The sequence below is a fragment of the Homo sapiens genome, chromosome 6, assembly GCF_000001405.40.
Source record: "Homo sapiens chromosome 6, GRCh38.p14 Primary Assembly".
Lineage (NCBI taxonomy): Eukaryota > Metazoa > Chordata > Mammalia > Primates > Hominidae > Homo > Homo sapiens.
Window position 1 is genome coordinate 10324900 of NC_000006.12, and position 22186 is coordinate 10347085.

At 44.4% G+C, this 22186-nt stretch overlaps 1 long non-coding RNA gene across 1 annotated transcript; it reads right to left on the reverse strand.

Moving 5' to 3' along the window:
• Positions 1-310: 310 nt before the first annotated feature.
• LOC105374920 (uncharacterized) lies at positions 311-5205 on the reverse strand. Its single transcript, XR_926458.2, has 3 exons — positions 3529-5205; positions 1259-1578; positions 311-840 (listed from the first exon to the last, which is right to left on the reverse strand). It is a non-coding gene; the product is annotated as an uncharacterized LOC105374920 (long non-coding RNA).
• Between the last annotated feature and the right edge of the window lie 16981 nt (positions 5206-22186).

The following is a 22186-nucleotide window of genomic DNA, read 5'->3' on the forward strand; positions in this document are numbered from 1 at the left end:
CACTTTCGGAGGCCAAGGCAGGTGGATCACGAGTCCAGGAATTCAAGACCAGCCTGTGCAATATGGTGAAACCCCATCTCTACCCCCAAAAATATACAAAAATTAACTGGATGTGGGGATGCATGCCTGTGGTCCCAGCTAGTTGGGAGGCTGAAATGGGAGGAGCGCTTGAACCCAGGAGGTCAAGGCTGCTATAAGCTACGATTGCACCACTGCACTCCAGCCAGGCAACAGAGCGAAACCCTGTCTCAAAAAAAAAAAAAAAAAGAAAAGAAAAGAAAAGAAAAGAAAAGAAAGAATGGAGCCAGACTTTCTGAGTTTGCATCTTTGTTCTGCCATCTGTGCTATTTAATCTTGAGTAATTTACTCAACCTCTCTGGGCCTCAGTTTCTTAGAAGATGGGAAGAAGAAGAAGAATATCTATCTCCTAGGTGTCTGTGAATATTGAATGAGTTCACCAATAGGAATTACTCTTAGCTTTTTTCCCTCACTCTTAACATTAACTCTAGTGCTGTATTCAGAAGGGAGAGTTCCCACTTCCTGTCTTCAGTTCTCTCTGTGACACCCAGACTGTTTTTCTATCACAGCAGAAATAAGCTGTGCAAGGAGAACTCTGATCAGAGGAGACAATACTTGAGCTGGCAGGAACTCTTCTCCGTACACACTTCTGTGACGTCGGTAAGGCTGGTTACCTTAAAGTCTCAACTTAATAACTTTTCTTCCAGTCTAACTGTAATGCAGATACTTCTCTCTGGATCGGTCTGCTAAAACCATGCCACCTGCACAGGTGTGTCAAGCAGGAACATGGGAAATGCAATGCTGGCGTCAACAGTGGACCCTCTGTAGATGTGGGGTGCAGAAAGAGTATGACAATTATTAGCAACTACATTGGAAAATTTTTAATAGTCAAACAGAATACTTGGGTAAGTTACTAATGCTTGATTGGATTTATTAACTCATGGAACCAAACCTTTATTGATTGCCTAATTCATGGCAGGCATCGTTCTTGGTTACTGGGGTTACAAAGCCTGAGGGACTGAACGAGTAGATTCGCTTGATCATTCGTTCACTCATTTGTTCACCTGTGCCTTCATTTAACTAGCGTTTATGTATAGCGTTTCTGTATTTATGTGCCAGTCCCTGTATGAGACACTCCAGTAAGCGAGACAGGGATACCAGTGTCCCTGGGGACATACCAGTTCCTGAGTCTCTTGGTCTAAGAGTTTCTGAAAATAACCCACACCTTGTAAATACTCACTAAATACTTATGGCCTGAGAAATTACAGGAAGCCTCTCTTGTCAGCAATATCCAGCACTCATTTTTGTTGTAGGCCTTTAATCTTCCCCAGTCACAAACCAAAGCAGTTCAGCATATTCAAAACATAGGCCCCTTCATAATCTGCTTCCGACGGGCTCGTTCTCAGGTCCACTTTGCAATATCTGATTAAACATATAAAGGGGAGGGCTTCTCGTTTCAGAGATCCTGGAAATCAATCAAGAAGGAATCAATCAAGTAGAAATCAATGAACAAGGTGGGCAGCCTCCATGGGTCCAGCCTTCCTGAGTATGTCTCTGTCACTGAAAAGAAAAGGAAGTATGTGAAAACAGAGCAACGGGTGCTTCTTTCCCACAGAATTGCCTACAAAACATTAAGAGACGAATGCCATCATCTGTCTATTTTCCTGAATAAATAAAATATAGAAAAGTCAGATGGGGCCGGGTGAGGTGGCTCACACCTGTAATCCCAGCACTTTGGGAGGCCAAGGCGGGCGGATCACAAGGTCAGGAGATCGAGACCATCCTGGCTAACACGGTGAAACGCCGTCTCTACCAAAAAATACAAAAAAGTTAGCCGGGCGTGTTGGTGGGTGCCTGTAGTCCCAGCCACTCAGGAGGCTGAGGCTGGAGAATGGCATGAACCCGGGAGGCGGAGCTTGGAGTGAGCCACTGCACTCCAGGCTGGGCGACAGAGCAAGACTCTGTCTCAAAAACAAAAAAAAAAAGAAAAGAAAAGAAAAGTCAGATGGGCTGGGTGCAGTGTCTTAACGCCTGTAATCCCAGTACTTTGAAAGGCCAAGGCACACAGAGGTCAGGAGTTCGAGACCAACCTGGCCAACATGGTAAAACCACGTCTCCACTAAAAATACAAAAAAAAAAATTAGCCGGGCATCGTGGGGTGTGCCTGTAATCCCAGCTACTCAGGAGGCTGAGGCAGGAGAATTGCTTGAACCCAGGAGGCCGAGGTTGCAGTGAGCCAAGATCGCACCATTGCACTTCAGCCTGGGCAACAAGAGCGAAACTGTCTCAAAAAAAAGAGAAAGAAAAGTCAGATGGTCTGGTGGGGTAAGACGGGTGGAGTAAGGGATCTCCTTGCTTCTAAGGGTTAGTGTAGGAAAGTTCCAGAATGTTGGGGTCCTCTGTTCTGCATGGATAATTGCCCTGTCAGTCCAGGTGAGTGACTTCCTCCCCAGTGCCCCCATTTCAGTCTGGGGTGAATTTAGGAGAATTCTAAACACGTTCACCATGAGCTTCTCACCAGCTCCGTGGCATTTGGGACAGAAGAACTCGCACACCTTTTTATGCACCACAGTGAGTTGCATTTGTCTTCAAGAACTCTTCATTCTATCTTAATTTAATTTAATTTAATTTTTTGAGACACAATCTTGCTATGTCACCCAGGCTGGAGTGCAGTGGCATGATCTCAGCTCACTGCAACCTCTGCCTCCCGGGCTCAAAAGATCCTCTCTCCTTAGCCTTCCAAGTAGCTGGGATTAGAGCTACACCACACCCAGCTAAATTGGTTTTTTCTTTGTTTGTTTCACCATGGGTTTTGCCATGTTGCCCAGGCTGGTCTCAAGCTACTAGGCTCAAGCGATCCACCCACCTCAGCCTCCCAAAATGTTGGGATTATAAGTGCCCAGACTCCCATCACTCTATTTTTTTTTTTTTAAAAAAGGTTCTAAGCTAAGGCATACAGCAGTACTCATGGTTTTTATTTACCCCTTAGCATTATACATTTATTTTAAATGGATAACTAATTTCTTTCAAACCCAGTTTTCATATCTTTTGGAGTAGCAGTTTCATAACAAAAGCATTTATCAGTTTGGAGGCCAAGGCAAGAGGATTGCTTGAGTCCAGGAGTTCTAGACCAGCCTGCACCATACAGTGAGACCTTGTCTCTACCAAAAAATCAAAAAACTAGCCAGGTGTGGTGGCGTGCGCCTGTAGTCCTAGGTACTCAGGAGGCCAAGGCAGGAGGATTGCTTGAGCTAGGGAGGTCGAGGCTGAAGTGAGCTGTGTTCACACCACTGCACTGCAACCTCGGCAAGAGGGTGAGACTTTGTGTCACACACGCACACAAAAAACCCTAAAAGCATTTATTTATCTGATGAATATTCCAGTCATTAGTAAATGATTGCCTCTACTTGGTACTCTGAAGGAATTGGTAAATCTTTAAGTACTTGAAACTTTAACAATCTAAATAAAAATCAGAAATATTTCAGACTTCTTTTCAAATGCAAATCTTACCTACCACCCACTCCACAAACTTCCTCAGTACAGCTCTTGACGTTTTAATATAGAGAACATATGTTGTTTTCAACCTTAGATTTCTCCAACTATTTTCTACAAGAGAAATATTATGACGATTAACATTATAAAATGTTTTTCTTCTATACAGGTAAGAGAGTTTTCTAGTATTAATGTCCCATGGAGTTCCCCCTAAATGTCACAAATCATTTGGGAAATACTTAAGAAGTAGATTTGTATATGTAGCTCTCACATACACACCTCGTTACATAGAAACCTGATACATGAAATTCACTATTACAGAATTTAGAAACTAGCAAACTAACTCAATTACACTTTATCCCAAAGCTTCTTTTATATAATTTTCAAGTTACATTCAGTCCTATATTCCAGTAACATGCCCCACCCTCTTGCTTCATTTACTGAAATAATTAGGCTCAACCTCTTTGGTATTTCTGCATTTTCTCTGGTTTAGAGGGGCCTGGTGATTCTAACACAGTGCCTTCTTATTGTTCTGTATAACAAGCTCTGAGTGATCAAAAGGAGGTGCACATTTGCTCCCAATGGAAAATAATGAAGTGTCAATTTGTTAGAAACAGATGCCTCTTCAATCCAATGTGACTGCTCAGTTAAGAAACTTTTTTGCTTGCTGAGAAAGGGAGGAAAGCAAAGCAAAAGAGTCATTAGGTCATTTAATGAGTTGAATTATCAAATGTGATTTTAATACACATACATCCAGTTGTATAATGAAATGATATAGGCTTTAATACATACAAATCCATGTTAGAGAAAAGTTCAGGAGTGCAGCTGTTCTAAAGGGGCCTTGCACCTGCAATCCATCAGATGCTGCAGACTTTGAAGTTTTCTTCTGGTATAACTTTCAAGTTAATCACTCCTCCCTCTCTGCTACGTTGGTCTTTGTATAAATTTCTATTTATGACTTTACTGTTGTGTTTGTTTTCTTGTCTATCTCCTCTGCTGGACTGTAAGGTACTTGAGGGAAGGACCTGTGACTTATTGATCTTTGCACCTCCTGGCACAAACTGGCATTCAGCAAGCACATATCAAACACCATGTACCAGTGACCTATCTGCTGTGCAATAAAAATTGGCGAGTGTTTATTGCTGCCCTTGATGCTACTGTGTCATCATCCTTTTCAACTTAATTTTTACCAGCCCATGTCTGAGTTTGTCAGTACATGTATCAGACCTTATCCTTTTGCAGAGATGCCTTGATGGCCTGAATGCCCATTGCCAGAGATATGAAAAAAAAGGCAGAGCAGACACATATGATCCAGGAAAGAGTGTGTGGCTGCAGGTGACCCCAGAGCCTTGTTGGAGGACAGCAATTTGAAAGCCTTGAATCTACCAGTCCTCATAACATCTCTGGATTGATAATGTCCTGAGGCAGAGCAAGAGGATTCTAGAGCTTTGGGGACTAGCCTTTGTGTCCGCAGCCCCACATGCACGTTTCTTCCTGACCTCTGACTCACGCTCTACAGTTGAGCATATTGACACCTTCCATGTCCCCCATTTCTTCACCTGTACGATGGGAATGGTGGTCATAGATGTCCCTGACATACTGAGGTGGGGACAAGACTTAAGACAATTTTGTTAAGTACTGAGTGCTCCAAAAAAAAAAAAAATTGAAGAGACCAAAGTGAAAGTGAACACAATAGTAAATCCTTTGTTTTTCCTTTTTCTTTTTTTTTTTTAAGACAGATTCTCCCTCTGTCACCCAGGCTGGAGTGTAGTGGCACGATCTCGGCTCACTGCAACCTCCACCTGCTTGAGGTCAAGCGATTCTCCTGCCTCAGCCTCTCAAGTAGCTGGGACTACAGGTGTACACCACCATGACCCGCTAATTTTTGTAATTTCAGTAGAGATGGGGTTTCACCATATTGCGCAGGCTGGTCTCAAACTCCTGGCCTCAGGTGATCCACCCGCCTTGGCCTCCCAAAGTGCTGGGATCACAGGCCTGAGCCACCACACCCGGCCTTAAATCCTTTCTTTCTCCCAAGAGAAAACTTCAAGAAAATCCTCATCTTTGTTTCAGCCACTCACCTGTTTTAAGGCTTCACTATCTAAGTTCCCTTTAAGAGCCCCCAGAGAACATTCAGAAATGCACTGCTCCCCATAATGGGAAAGCTGCACAACAGAAGGACTAGGTGGAGGAAGAATATAGAGGTCTAAACCAACTCCTTGTTTTTAATAGAACTCAATTGGGAGTGATAAAGCTTATATGATTTGCCAAAGATCATGTGACTAATTAGTGATGCCCTGGGGTGAATCCTGTGATATCATACTTCTTAGAATTATTCACAGGAACCTTCCCCGTACTTCCACTAGGGTAGCAAACTGAGGTAACCTTTCTGTAAAGCAATTTAGGCAATATTCTTCAACAACCTTAAATATATGCATATAATTTGACCCAGAAATTCTACTTCTAGGAACTTGCCATAAGAAAGTAATCAGAGGGGCCAGGCGTGGTGGCTCACACCTCTAATCCCAGAACTTTGGGAGGCTGAGGTGGGCGGATACCTGAGGTCAGGAGTTCAAGACCAGCCTGGCCAACGTGGTGAAACCCCGTCTCTACTAAAAATATGAAAATTAGCTGGGCATGATGGCTTATGCCTGTAATCCCAGCTACTCAGGAGGCTGAGGCAGGAGAATTGCTTGAGCCCAGGAGGTGGAGGTTGTGGTGAGCCGAGATCACAGCCCTGCACTCCAGCCTAAGCAACAGAGCAAGACTCTGTCTCATTAAAAAAAAAAGGAATCAGAGAAACACACTATGATTTAGTCATGAAGATGTTCACAGCAGGGTAATTTATAGTAAGAAAAACTGGGAAGCAACATCTATGCATAATAGGAATGGACTGGTTAAATAATTAATGGTACTTATGCACAAGAAAAACTATAGAAGTACAGAAAACTGCAGTGTAAAAGATTGTTATTAGCAGCCTAGGTTAAAAAAAGGGCGGGGTGCAGTGGGAAGGTGGCAAAACAATGTGTAGAGAGGCCCCAAATTACATAAAAAATCTAAAGAGATGTGAAGAACCGCCCGGATGAGGTTAAGTCAGGGTCAGAGAAGCTAAGGCAGATGATGTCATAGATATGTCATCTTTTGCTGAAATCTTCATGGTGTATGTTTTCAGGGATTTTAAAGACCTATAACTTAACATGCACTAGTCTGTTATATGTACTTTAGCTTAAAGTCACCAACGGGAAGAAGATGTTAACAGCATGAATGGTAAAGGGGACAGAGCAGAGCTCAGGAATAAGGATTGGGGAACAGAATGGGAGCGGTCACAAAAGTGTAGCTCAAGATGAGAATCCAGATAGAGATAAGGGTGCAATTGGGTGGAGCTCTGAAGATGAACAGGAGATAACGTCTGATAAACTCTGACCTAGCTGGCTTCATGACGAGACATCTGAAAGATAACAGGGGCAGGCCATGATGAGAAAGTATATCCAGGATTAGCAAGAGAGGTGAAGGTAAGGAGATGCCACGGCAGAGTAATTACTGGCAATTTTGTTGATTGGAAGAAGGCATTCTTTGCCAAGGATTCTAAATGTCACAGCATGGAATCACAATTATGACAATTTTATATGTGTGACAATGCAATAATAAAATGAATAATGCTTCACCAATGAATGATGTTCTAGAAGGTATGGGATATTATCTGCCATCACTCATCTTCCTCCTTTTCTTATTTAGCATCATCATGAAAAAAAAAAGGGGGGGGCTATGGAGTCACAAGCCTGGTTTTAGACTCCAGTTTTGCCAAATTTTTCCTGAATATCATGAGACTCATTTTTCTCATCACTAAATGGGGATATTAGTAACCTGCTGCACAGGATGTTTGTAAGAACAAAGCGAGTTCAGCTGGGTGCAGTGACTCACACTTGCAGTCCTAGCACTTTGGGAGGCCAAGGCAGGAGGCTGCAGTGAGCCGAGATCCTGCCACTGCACTCCAGCCTAGGCAACAGAGCAACACTCCGTCTAAAAAAAAAAAAAGAACAAAGCGAGTTTATATGTGTAAAGAGCCTAGTACATAATATGCTCTCAAGAAGTGTTTGCTTTTTCTTTTTTTTTTTTTTTTGAGATGGAGTTTCACTCTTGTTGCCCAGGCTGGAGTGCAATGGCATGATCTCGGCTCACTGTAACCTCTGCCTCCCGGGTTCAAGCGATTCTCCTGCCTCAGCCTCCCGAGTAGCTGGGATTACAGGCATGCGTCACCATGCCTAGCTAATTTTGTAGTTTTTAGTAGAGACAGGGTTTCTCCATGTTGGCCAGGCTGGTCTCGAACTCCTGACCTCAGGTGATCCACCTGCCTCGGCCTCCCAAAGTGCTGGGATTATAGGCATGAGCCACTGCACCCAGCCTAATTTTGTATTTTTAGTAGAGATGGGGTTTCTCCATGTTGGTCAGGCTGGTCTTGAACTCCTGACCTCAAGTGATCCGCCCTCCTCAGCCTCCCAAAGTGCTGGGATTATAGGCGTGAGCCACCACGCCCAGCCCATGTGTTTGCTTTTTCTAACCCCAGCTCTCTATGCCAGTATCTGGCAATACTGAGAAAAGAAAATAGAGTCTAGCAAAGAAAAAGATTAAGGCCACCAAGCATATTCTATCTCTCCCTGGGTTTTATGGTCACCCTGGTTTTGATTCAAATGTACTTCAATCTTGGCTGATTTCTTTCCACCTGGCAAAGGCTGCCTAGCGCCTCATACAATACACACTTGCTCTGCCACTCCAAATGGATCTGTTGCTTTAACTTAAGGTCTTGCTTTCAGAGTGGAGCCAGGAAACTAATTGTGTATATAGGAAATATTTGTGATTTCCTAACACTTCCACTTTCTGATTCTAAAAAATGTGCACCTCACGTCAGTGATCACAACCCACTGATCACCCCTCACCAATTTCTCACTATCCTAGGTACACACCGCTCACCCTACAGCATCCCAGAATGGCCCCAGCATTTACCCAAACTCTCAGGATCAGTGCCAGCCACACCACACACTGGCTACGTTTTTAGCATCGGTGTGTCAAGGCCTCTTGGACTGTGCTCCCAATTCGCTTCTTTGAAATGTCAACCAGTATTAGAAACATGGATTCCGGCCAGGCGCGGTGGCTCACACCTGTAATCCTAATACTTTGGGAGGCTGAGGCAAGAGGATTGCTTGAGGCCAGGAGTTTGAGACCAGCCTGGCCAACATGGCCAAAAACCCCGTCTCTACTAAAAAATACAAAAATTAGCTGGTCGTATTGGCATACCCCTGTAGTCCTAGCTACTCGGGAGGCTGAGACATGAGAATTGCCTGAACCTGGGAGGCTAAGGTTGCAGTGAGCTGAGATCACACCAATGCACTCCAGCCTGGGCAACAGATTGAGACTCTGTCTCAAAAAAAAAAAGAAAAGAAAAAAGAAATAGATTCCCAGATCTCCAGGTTAGAGGATGACTTGGCCAAAAGATTCTACTAGAAAAGTACTCCATTCTATTTTCTAAATTCTGACTACTAATGAGTTGAAATCAGTTCGTGCATCATTTCCATTCTCTCAAATCACTCAAAAGGTGCCTAAAATTTCTTTTTTTTTCATATGCTCCAAGGTCTGTAATAGACGCACAATAAATGGGATTATTATTTGTTTGCATAGACTGTTGTTAGAGGTATGTATTCTACAAGCAAAAAATTTCAATAATAAAATGACTATTACTTACCAACTTTAAATTCAAAATATATCCTAGTGGCCAGGTGCAGTGGCTCACGCCTGTAATCCCAGCACTTTGGGAGGCTGAGGTGGGAGGATCACTTGAGCACAGGAGTTTGAGACCAGCCTGGGCAACATAGACAGACCCTATCTCTACAAAATAAAAAGTGAAAACTGCACATGTACCCTAAAACTTAGAGTATAATAAAAAAAAAACATTAAAAATAAAAAAAAAGTGAAAACTGAAAATAAAAAATTTAAAATTAAAAAAACAGCTATCCCAGAATAATTTCTAGAAGGCAAATCAAAGCAGACAAGACATAATGGCCAATATCAAAAGCAAAACAAAGTCAAGGATAGGGAACTTCATTACCTGTACCTTCCCTTTTTATATTGGGACATATTTTCATTCAAGAAATTTTATCAGACTGGCCGGGCGCAGTGGCTCATGCCTGTAATCCCAGCACTTTGGGAGGCTGAGGTGGACAGATCACCTGAAGTCAGGAGTTCGAGACCAGCCTGGCCAACATGGTGAAACCCCATCTCTACTAAAAATACAAAAATTAGCCAGGCGTGGTGGTGCATACCTGTAATCCCAGCTATTCAGGAGGCTAAGGCAGGAGAATTGCTTGAACCTGGGAGGCGGAGGTTGCAGGGAGCCAAGATCATCATGCCGTTGTACTCCAGCCTGGGCAACAAGAGTGAAACTCCATTTCAAAAAAGAAAAAAAATTGTATCAGACAGATAAATGACAGGTGGGGCTGCATCATTCAATAGTGAAGACTAATTCTTCTTGTAGAAAAAAGGCAGCAGCCCAGACACCTCTCCAAGTAGTAAGGGAACCTTAGCAGAAGGGCTTTAGCTCACAAAATTTACTCCAGAGATCAGTATTTTATAATTTTATTAGTGTTATTACTAAATTAATATTTCCATATATGGATACCAGTTTATATTTTCAAATTACTTTCATAGCCAGCATGTCATCAGACAGATCATCAAAAAAAGAAACAAAAGCAGGTATTATTAACACCATATTTCACATTAGACTCCTCAGGCCTAAAGAAGTTAGATAACATGCCTAAAATTAGAGCTTAAAAATTCATTGTTACTCTTCATGGAATCAATGTGGTTTTATTTCCGAACCTAAAACAGTGGGTTCCTTGAAGAGGGGCACTGGTTCCAAATTTCTCCAGGTGTCATAGGCTAAAATCTGTACCCCCATCTCTCCCTCAACTAATTCCAAAATGATTTGTTGAAGCCCTAACCCCCAGTACCTCAGAATGTGACTATATTTGGAGATCGGGCCTTTATAGAGGTAATTAAGGTAAACAGATCATACGGTGGGCTCTAACCCAATATGGTTGGTGTCCTCATAAGAAGCGGGGATGAGGCCACAGACACACACAGAGGGAAGACCACGTGAGAACACAGGAAGCAGATGGCCATCTACAAGCCAAGAGGACAGGTCTCAGGAGAAACCAATCCTGCCTTCACCTGGATCTCAGACTTGTAGACTCCAGAGCTGTGAGGAAATAAGTTTCTGCTGTTTAAGCCACTCTGTCCATGGTATGTTGTCATGTCAGCCCAGCTAACTACATGCTGGGTACTCTTGATTCCTAGCTCTCTGTGGTTGTAAAAATTCTCATTGGTAGGTCCCAAGAGTTACAGAATCATCAGCTAGCGCCTTGAAGCCCTATGCACCCTTGTGTTGTGATACTGGTGGTCTCCAAATAGATAGAAAGTCAATGACACTTACCTGTCTGCTGTAGTCAGTGCTGGGTGTGAGCCCACTCATGGCCTCTAACTTCACCCAATCTCCCTCGAATTTCAGCTTCACCTACCAGCTGAAAGACCAAGCAGGTCTCACTGAGACACTGGGATGGCTTCTTACAAGAGACCGCACACCTCTGAAACATGTCCATAAGGGCAACTCTATGTGAGGGATAGAGTGACAGAAAAAGAACATCCTAATCTATCATTTTTTCAATAGAGCAGTTATACCCCAAGCAGAATCAAGGCTTTAGGATCACCTAAAACACATGATTTAAGATGAATAGTCCTTGCATTCTGGTGAGGAGAAAGCTGTGTTTGGTTTGAGCACATGTTCACTTCCCGGTAGATATACATTTAGGTGCTGGGTCTTCCAGCCATCTGGAGTGACCACATTTTGAGATGAATGTATTTCCTCCTAGGATCTGACTGTCAGCCATACACCTCAGCCTTCCATGGTAATCAATTTAAATGTGGAGAAGGACATGCAGGAAGCAGATAATGGCTTACTAGGGACACATGGTCCCAACTAAACCATGGAACAAACACAAGGGAATATGATCCCAAGGAAGCAGTCAGGCTCCCTGGACATTATTCCATAATTATTCCACGTTTTCCCAAACCCAGTGGATGCAACACACTCAGACTCATGTCTTCCAAGAGAACATTTCCTAGAGCCTTCTTTTCTTCATAATTTTTCCTTCAGTCTTTCAAGGGAGCATCTTCAAGGAGTCAACAGCTGCTTACTGAGCCCCTGCAATTGGTGTGGCACAACCCCTCCTCCTTCTTAGGGGCTTACAATCTAACTGTAAAGAAATATTCCACAGACCTGAGATGTTTCAGAATTAGGCCTTGTGTAATGCAAGTTACCTGTATGATGTACCATGTGTCTATCTATAACAGACTGTATGTCCATGAGGACCCAGGTATACATCTGTATTTGCTCACGCTTTTGTTCCCAGTACTTAAAACAATAACTTGCCCTTCCTAGCTAATCATAAATACAATTGAATAAAGTATATATAATAAAATGTAACTGAAGTGCAAGGAAAGAAAACATCAATGAAGTTCAGAGTTATGGAGGTGACTTTATGAAGGAAATGAGCTGAGTATCAGAAAATCAGAGGTCTTCTCACATGAAGGCATGAACAATGGAAAAGACGGACAAGACATGAGGGGAAGTTCGAAATTCTTTGTGTGTGTGTGTGTGTGTGTGTGTGTGTGTGTATGTGTGTAGAGATGGGGTCTCACTACATTGCCCAGGCTAATCTCAAACTCCTGAGCTCCAGCAATCCTCCCACCCTGGTTTCCCAAAGTGCTGGTGAGAGGTGATAGCGTGCTGGCAGTCCTCAGAGCCCTCGCTTGCTCTCGGCACCTCCCCTGCCTGGGCTCCCACTTTGGCGGCATTGGAGGAGCCCTTCAGCCCCCGCACTGCACTGTGGGAGCCACTTTCTGGGCTGGCCAAGGCTGGAACCCACTCCCTCAGCTTGCAGGGAGGTGTGGAGGGAGAGGCGCGAGCGGGAACTGGAGCTGCGTGCGGTGCTTGCGGGCCAGCTGGAGTTCCGGGTGGACGTGTGCTTGGCGGGCCCCGCACTCGGAGCAGCCGGCCAGCCCTGCTGGCCCCGGGCAATGAGGGACTTAGCACCCGGGCCAGCGGCTGTGGAGGGTGCACTGGGTCCCCCAGCAGTGCCGGCCCACCGGTGCTGCACTCGATTTCTCACCGAGCCTTAGCTGCCTTCCCGCGGGGCAGGGCTCGGGACCTGCAGCCCGCCATGCCTGAGCCTCCCACCCCCTCCATGGGCTCCAGTTGCGCCCGAGCCTCCCCTACGAGCACCACCCCCTGCTCCACGGCTCCCAGTCCCATCTACCACCCAAGGGCTGAGGAATGCGAGCGCACGGCGCATGACTGGCAGGCAGCTCCACCTGCAGCCCCGGTGCGGGATCCACTAGGGGAAGCCAGCTGGGCTCCTGACTCTGGTGGGGACGTGGAGAGTCTTTATATCTAGCTCAGGGATTGTAAACACACCAATCAGCACCCTGTGTCTAGCTCGAGGTTTGTGAGTGCACCAATCGACACTCTGTATCTAGCTGCTCTAGTGGGGCCTTGGAGAACCTGTGTGTCCAAACTCTGTATCTAACTAATCTGATGGGGACGTGGAGAACCTTTGTATCTAGCTCAGGGATTGTAAACGCACCAATCAGCGCCCTGACAAAACAGACCACTCGGCTCTACCAATCAGCAGGATGTGGGTGGGGCCAGATAAGAGAATAAAAGCACGCTGCCCGAGCCAGCATGGGCAACCCGCTCGGGTACCTTTCCACACTGTGGAAGGTTTGTTTTTTCGCTCTTTGCAATAAATCTTGCTACTGCTTACTCTTTGGTTCCATGCTGTATTTATGAGCTGTAACACTCACCGCAAAGATATGCAGCTTCACTCCTGAGCCCAGCGAAACCACGAACCCACCAGCAGAAAAGAACGACTCCAGACGCGCTCCCTTAAGAGCTGTAACACTCACCGTGAAAGTCTACAGCTTCACTCCGGAGCCAGCGAGACCACGAACCCACCCAAAGGAAAAAACTCCAAACACATCTTAACATCAGAAGGGATAGACTCCAGACGTGCCACCTTAAGAGCTGTAACACTCACCGCGAGGGTCAGCGGCTTCATTCTTGAAGTCAGTGAGACCAAGAAGCCACCAATTCCAGACCGACTGGGATTTCAGGCGTGAATCACTGCACCCAGCCAAAGTCCGCAATTCTTAAACTCACATCGACTCCCAAGTCTACTCGGTCCACTAGGGTTTTTTTCACTGCCCATCAGCCCCAAAAGATGTTACTCTTGCAGGGGTCGCTCAGAGTCCGTGATGCATCTGGGTATTCTCCCCCTCACTCACACTCTCAACTCCTTTTTTTCTCTCCATCTTATGTAGAACTCAGCTCCCAAATCTGGGTAAACCACAGCTGTCATCTGTTCAGCCTCTGCCTCCAGCGGAACACCACCAGAGGAAACCATACAATTGTACTTACAGGTTTTGTTTTAAATGTAGATTTTATTTTAAATCTACAAACAAAAATCTCAAGTGGCTTTTTCCAAAGCTGCCAAACGCTAGCGGTTCTGTCAATTCAGTGTCTCAACTTCCAGAATGACGATTTCATGCCTTTCTTTCCCCAAAACTCTTAAGACTCCTTCCTCCCTCTCTTTGATGACACTGATTTCTTAGAAGAAAAAAAGAGAAACAATAAAGGATTCATCCTCCTTTCACACAAGCCAATTCTACCGACGTTTCTTCCAGCCCTAGCTAACTACAGGCCAGGTACTCTTGATTCCTAGTTCTCTGTGGGTGTAAAAATTCTCATTGGTAGATTCCAAGAGTTACTTTCTGCAACCCTAACTCTTTTTCCCATTCCCTCCTAAATCTGTTCACTTTTGCTCTAAAGCTCACACCCCCTAGCCTGTTTACAGGCTCAGCAACTCCTATTATCTCCTTCTTCCGATTCACCTATTCTCCCCTTTCTTCTGAGTTACTTCTATTACTTCTATCTATATACAAAAATGTTTTCATAATTCCCCTATTTGAAAAATCCACCCTTGACCCTACATCCCCATTTTTTCTCCCCTTCTCAGCAAAACTTGAAAGAACTATTGCTACTTGCTGTCTCCACTTCTTTACTTTTTTAATTCATTTCATTCAGAATTTCATCCCCACTGTTCAACTGCAGCTGCTCATGTTAGGGTCATGATGTAGAATCTAGTATTCAATTATCTGTCCTCAGTTTATTCCCAGCAGGATTTGACACTTGTTCCTCTTTGAAACATTATGGTGGGCAGGACAACATGCCCTTCTGAGTTTCCTCCTATTTCACGGGCCATTCCTTCTCAATTTTCCCTGTTAGCATCTCATTCTTAACATCATCCATTAAATATTGGAGTGTCTCTGAGCTCAGTCTCTTCCTCAGGGCAAGCACCTCCCTCCCCATGTGATGTCTTCTCGATCAATGGCTTTAAATACCATCTACACGCTGGTAACTCCCAAAGTTTATTTCCAGCTCCGATCTTTATCTTAAATTCCAGACAGCTGTATCTTTTTAATATTCTATATAGTCACTTAAAACTATAAAAACAGAGCTCTTAATTTTCCAATCTAAACCGTCTCCTCTCCCGATCATCTTCATCTCAGAAAATTGCCCCATAAATCATCCAGTTGCTCAAAATACAAACCTAGGAGTCATCCTTGACCCCTCTCTTTCTGTCCTACTGGGCATCCAGTCCACGATTATTGAGTCCTTTCTCGATCTCTTAAAACACATACTGAGCCCTCCCTACCACCTTTCCCCGCTTCCACTGCCATCTCCATACTGCAGACCACCATCAGCTTACACTTGTACTCTACAACAGCCAAGCCACTGGTCTTCCTACAGCCTTCTTTCTCCACTACAGAATATTCTCCAAGAGCAGCCAGGGTATTCTTAAACTGTAAGTCAGCTTGCCTTGCTCTCCTGCTTAATTCCTACCAATAGCTTCCCATTGCACTTAGAATAAAATATGAAATCCTTATTGTAGCCTACAAGTCCCTGGTGATCTAGCTACTGGCTGCTTCTCCTCATCCTACACTTCTGCTCCTTGACCCCTCCTCTCCACCCACCCCAATCTTCATGCTGTTCAAAGAGCAATGCTTGTTCTTTTCCACCTCTTCCTGCAATGCTTTCCACCGCAAACTCCCATCACGGCCACCAGTTCAGGTCTCTGCTCAGATGTGACCTCCACAGAGTGCTTCCCCTGTCCACCAAACGGGAAATAAAAATACCTCCAGGCCCTGGTCACTGCCATATCCTGCCTCCCTTTCTTCCCAGCATTCATCACTTTATGAAACTGTATTATTTACTAGTTTGTTTATGATTTGTTTGTCTTCCCTTCTAGAATATGCATTTAATAGAGGAAGAAAACTTTGCTTGGCTTCTTTGTCACTGTAAAAACAAATCCAAGATGAGACATTTAGAAAATACTGCAGCCGGGCATGGTGGCTCACACCTGTAATCCCAGCAGTTTGGGAGGCCGAGGCAGGCGGATCATGAGGTCAAGAGTTCAAGATCAGCCTGACCAATATGGTGAAACCCCGTCTCTAATAAAAAAAAAAATACAAAAATTAGCTGGGCGTGGTGGCGTGTGCTTGTAGTCCTAGCTACTCGGGAGGCTGAGGCAGGAGAATTGCTTGAATCTGGGAGGCAGAGGTTGCAGTGAGCAGACCTGGGTGACAGAGCGAGACTTGGTCTCAAAAAAAAAAAAAAAAAAAGAGAAATTAAAAAGAAAGAAAATATTGCTAAGGAAGGCTGGGCGCAATGGCTCACGCCTGTAATTCCAGCACTTTGGGAGGCCAAGGCAGGTGGATCACCTGAGGTCAGGAGTTCGAGACCAGCCTGATCAACAAGGTGAAACCCTGTCTCTACTAAAAATATAAAAATTAGCTAGGTATGGTGGCAGGTGCCTGTAGTGCCAGCAACACAGGAGGCTGAGACAGGAGAATTGCTTGAACCTGGGAAGCGGAGGTTGTAGTGAGCTGAGATCACGCCACTGCACTCCAGCATGGGTGACAGAGTGAAACTCTGTCTCAAAAAAAAAAAAAATATATTGCTAAGGAAAGGGAGGAAGGGCAGGAAGGAGGAAGACAAGACAGAAACGGGAGAGGGAAGGGAATTGTGCTTTTTTGTATCAGATCATTTCCACGAATCCATCAAACCAAAATCTCCACATTAATAGAAGCACTTTCATGTTACCAATTTTGGAAAACAGCTGTTGTGAGCCTGAGCCTGAAGTCAGTAGACTTTCTGTCCTGTCCCACAGTCTAGCACACACTCTGATTGAGCACTCTTGAAATTAAAGTGTGTGGTTGCCAGATCTGGATTCCCATCAACAGGTGCATTCTTTGAATGGATTCAGGCTATCTGTTGCTAAAAATATCTGTCGTGGAGAACAGATACCCTAATAGAATTGCCGTGACCACCCTGAAGCATTGAAGAATGTGAACTCCTGGAGGTCAGGATATCCAACCCACTATTACCTGCAAAATAAACTTCAAACATAGACGAAGGAAGTTCCTTGTTTATATGAGACACTGTGCACAGCAGGTAGTAACAATATTGCCCCTAGGACCATATTCATGGAGACATTAAAGCAGGTAAAACTTAGGGTGAGAAGAGGTTGCTGGGCACCGATGCACTTCACTTCCTGATCCACAGCTTTTACTGTCAGCCCCAAACTAAGAACACTCCATAGTTTCCACTTGTCCCAGCCTGACACTCACCTTTCCCTGACCCTTCCCTAGGAAGATCCTCCTTGCCATCTCCTACCTGCCCCTTAGACAGGCTGCCCTCCTTACAGTTCTCTGCAAAAATATACTTATTCCCCACTTTAAACTGTTCATCAAACTTTTCTCTCTGTCAGTCTCTTTGGGCTGCTAAAACAAAATAATTTAGAGTGGGTCATTTATAAAGAGTGGAAATGTATTGCTCCAAGTTGGAGAGGCTGGGAAGTCCAGGATCAAGGTGCAGCAGTTTCTGGCGTCTGGGGAGGGCCTCTTCCTCATAGCTGGTGCCTCCTTCCTGCACCTTCACATGGTGGAAGCGGCAAACAGTCTCCCTCAGATGTCTTTTACAAAAGCACTAATCCCATTCATGATGGTTGCGTCTTCATGACCTAATCACCTCCCGAAGCCCCATCCTCTTTAATACCACCATATTGCAGATCATGCTTCCACACATGAATTCTGGGGGGACACATTCAGACCATAGCATCTTCTCCTTTTGTTCCAGCTTAAAGGATACCCACTGTGAGGAATTGTTGTTGTTTTCAATTTTTTTATAGTTATTATTATTATTATTATTTAATTATTTTATTTTCATTATTTTTTAAACTTTTTGTAGAGACGGGCTCTCACCACGTTGGCTGGGCTGGTCTTGAATTCCTGGGCTCAAGTGATCCTCCCACCTCAGCCTCTCAAAGTGCTGGGATTACAGGTGTGAGCCACCATGCCCACACTATTTTCATAATTTTTAAAAAAATGTATTTTTAGAGACAAGGTCTTGCTCTGTTGCCCAGGCTAGAGTTCAGTGGCACAATCATAGCTCACTGCAGCCTTGAACTCTTGGGCTCAAGTGGCTAAACGCCTCAGCCTTCCACATAGCTGGGACTACAGGCACATGCCACCATGCCTGGCTAATTTTTAAAAATTCTTTGTAGAGGCAGGGCTTTTCTGTGTTGCCCAGGTTGGTCTTGAACTCCTGACCTCAAGCAATCCTTCCACTTCAGCCTCCTAAATTCCTGGGATTACAGGCATGAGCCACCACACCTGACCTATGTTAATAGCAATTAAAAACTACTACTTCTCCAGTGGAGTCTGTCTTAGTCCATTTTCTTTTTGTTATTTTTTTTCTCCACACCATGATTCTGTAATAGTTTATTTTCTGTTGTTTATAACAGAATACTTGAAACTGAATGATTTAAAAAGAAAAGGTATTTATTTTGTACAGTTCTGGAGGCTGGGAATTCCAAGGCTGAGGGGCCACGTTTAATGAGAGCCTCCTGCTGGTGAGGACTCTGCAGAGTCCTGAGGTGGTGCAGGGTGTCACATCAGAGGAGCTGAGTAGGCCAGCTCAGGACTCTCTTCCTCTTTTTACAAAGCCACCAGTTCCAGTCCCATAATAACCCATCAATCCACGGACTGGTTAATCCATGAATCCATGAATGGATTAATCCGTTCATGGAGGCAAAGCCCTCAAGACCTAATCACCTCCAAAAGGCCCCACGTCTCAATACTGCCACATTGGGAGTTAAGTTTCAACATGAGCTTTGGAGGGGACATTCAAGACACGCAGGGCCCCACACCTTCCCCCTACCTGTTCCCCTGCCTCCTACCTTCTCCGGATGCCTAAATTGATGTCATGGGCCTCAAGCCTCCCACAGTGTCTGTGGTCCCAGCTACTTGGGAGGCTGAGGCAGAAGAATCGCTTGAACCTGGGAGGCAGAGGTTGCAGTGAGCCGAGATTGTGCCACTGCACTCCAGCCTGGGTGACAGAGTGACACTCTGCGGAAAAAAAAAAAAAAGCAGAAATTTGAGGATATCACTGCAATAATCACTAAAGTCCTCAATATTGATAACAATTTCACTTAGACCTAGTATAGTCTGTCACGATTTTCAAAAGAGATGGCATTGACCCATGTGGCCTATCCCTATCTAGCTAGAGCTCATGCTAATCAAGTGGGAAATTGCCATTCGGAAATTAGCCTGAGCAGGAGAAATCCTCTCCCAAACACCAACATCTTTCCGCAAATGTACACACAGAACTTTCACCCCAGGTTCATCAGTAATGCCCATCAATTTGTTGCATCAACCTGGTTCCACCCTGTACCTGCTCACACATCTAGCAAGCTTGGATTAAGTGTCTGGAAAGTGCTGGAGTCAAGGATTGAAGCAAGAGCTGGTGAGCACAGAGAGGAGAGCGAGCAGTCCAGGGGAGCCAGGGAAAGCCGCACCGAAGGCAAGACTTGGCTGAGTTCTGAAGAATGAATAAGAATCTGTCAGGAGACAGAACAACCTGGACAAACCGAGAGGACATTATGCCCAGTGAAATAAGCCAGGGACACACAGACAGATGCCTGCATGATCTCACTTACATGTGGAATCTAAAAAAGTCAAACTCATAGAAGCAGAGAAAAGAATGATGATTACCAGGGGCTGAGGGTGGAGGAAATGGGAGATGCTGGTCAAAGGGGACAAAGTTTCAGTGATAAGATAAATAAATTCAAGCCGGGCACAGCGGTACGTGCCTGTAGTCCCAGCTACTCAGGAGGCTGAGGCAGAAGGATCCCTTGAGGTCAGGAGTTGGAGTCGAGCCTGGGCAACCAAGTGAGATCCCATCTATGAAAAGAAAGATGAATAAATTCTGGAGACCTAATGCACAGCTGCTGACTAGAGTTAATAATTCTGTACTGTATACTTGAAATTTGCTGGCTGGGCATCATGGCTCACACCTATAATACCAGCACTTTGGGAGGCCAAGGTGGGAGGACCTCTTGAACCCAAGAGCTGGAAGCTGCAGTGAGCTATGATCGTGCCACTGCACTCCAGCCTGGGCAACAGAGTGAGCCCTTGAAGAAAAAAAAAAAAGAAAAGAAAGAAAGAAAAGAAAGGAAGGAAGGAAGGGAGGGAGGAAGGGAGGGAGGGAGGGAAGAGAGAAAGAAAGAAAGATTTGCTGAGAGAGTAAATTTCAAGTGTTCTTACCACACACAAAAAAATTTTAACTAGGTGAGGTGATAGAAATTAAAAACTCACTTGATTGTACGATCATTTCACAATGCACACTATATCAAATCATCACATTATATATGTTAAATTTATACAACTATATTTGTCAATTCTACCTCAATAAAGCTGAAGAAATCAATAACCAATGAAAGAGTTTTAAGTGTTAAACTAAAATGGTGTAGAAGAGGATAGAAAAAATTTTGTTACATTTTTCTCACACATTATTTAATTATTGCAACTAAGATGCTCCAATTATCACTCTTAACTAGTCTTATTTTTTGTGTGTATGTGTGGGGTTTTTTCTGAGACAGGATCTTACTCTGTCTCCCAGGCTGGAGTGCAGTAGTACGATCATATCTCTCTGCAGCCTCCAATTCCCGGGCTCAAGCAACTCTCCTGTCTCGGCCTCCCAAATGGCTGGGATTATAGGTGCAAGTGACTGCACCTGTCCTTACTGTTTTGTTTAAATTACAGCATTTGTGTAACAGAAAAGTAGATCATACAAAATAATATGCAATTTCAAATAAACACCCATTTTTTTTCATGAAATGAAATAAAATTAATGTGTCAGGAAGAGAGTTAAGAGGACCTTGGGCAGGGATGAAAAGCCTGGAATGGTGAGGGGTGACTGCATGGGAAAGGACCGGAAGTACAACTTGCCTGGAGTGTGGGGTACCCGTGCCTGAACCCCACCAGCAAAGCTGCAGAGGTCTGGGAGTGTGAGTCTGTAGGGGAAAATATAATAACCTTATGTGCCATATTCAGGATTTAAGGAGTGGGGACTTGACTTTGTAGGGCTTCAGAAAACCCATGAAGATTTTAAGAATTTCCACTTAAATAAATTACATCATCAACAGATTAGAGAATAGACTTTTCTTAGCCTGTTTGGGCTGCTATAAGAAAATACAGTTGAGCCTTGAACTGTATGGGGGTGTTTGGAGTGCCAACTCCTGTGCAGTAGAAAATCCACGTATAACTTTTGACTCTCCAAAAACTTAACTACTAATAGCCTACTGTTGACCAGAAGCCTTATGTAGTAGTACGTTCTGGCATTGCTATAAAGAAATACCTATAAACAAAAGAGGTTGGCCGGGTGCGTTGGCTCACACCTGTAATGCCAGCACTTTGGGAGGCCGAGGCGGGCAGATCATGAGGTCAGGAGTTCGAGACCAGCCTGACCAACATGATGAAACCCCGTCTCTACTAAAAATACAAAAATTAGCTGGGAGTGGTTGTGCACACCTGTAATCCCATCTACTCAGGAGAATCGCTCGAACCCAGGAGGCAGAGGTTGCAGTGAGCCGAGATCGCACCACTGTACTCCAGCCTGGGCGACAGAGCAAAGCATGGCAGCATCTGTTGGCTTCTAGGTAGGCCTCGGGAAACTTACAATCATGGTGGAAGGTGAAGAGGGAGACAACATGTCACGTGGTCGAGGCAGGAGGAAGAGAGAGAGGGTGAAGGTGCCACATACTTTCACACAATCAGATCTCGTGAGAACCCTATCATGAGAACAGCACTGGGGAGAAGGTGCTAAAGCATTAGAAACCGTCCCCATGATCAAATCACCTCCCACCAGGCCCCACCTCCAACACTGGGGATTCCAACTGAATATGAGATTTGGGTGGGAACACAGATCCAAACCACGTCACCTTACCCATAACATAAAGCTGATTAACAAATAAATAGACCAGTATCTATATAGAATTTATGCATTCATGACATAGCTTTTTCTTAATTTTTTCAGTATTTTTTTTGCCTATATTTGCCATATAAGCTACAGCAGTTTGCAAGTTTTTTCAAATTATTGCAAATCTCTAAAAACTTTTTCAATAAATTTATTGAAAAAAATCTACATATCAGTGGACCCAGGCAGTTC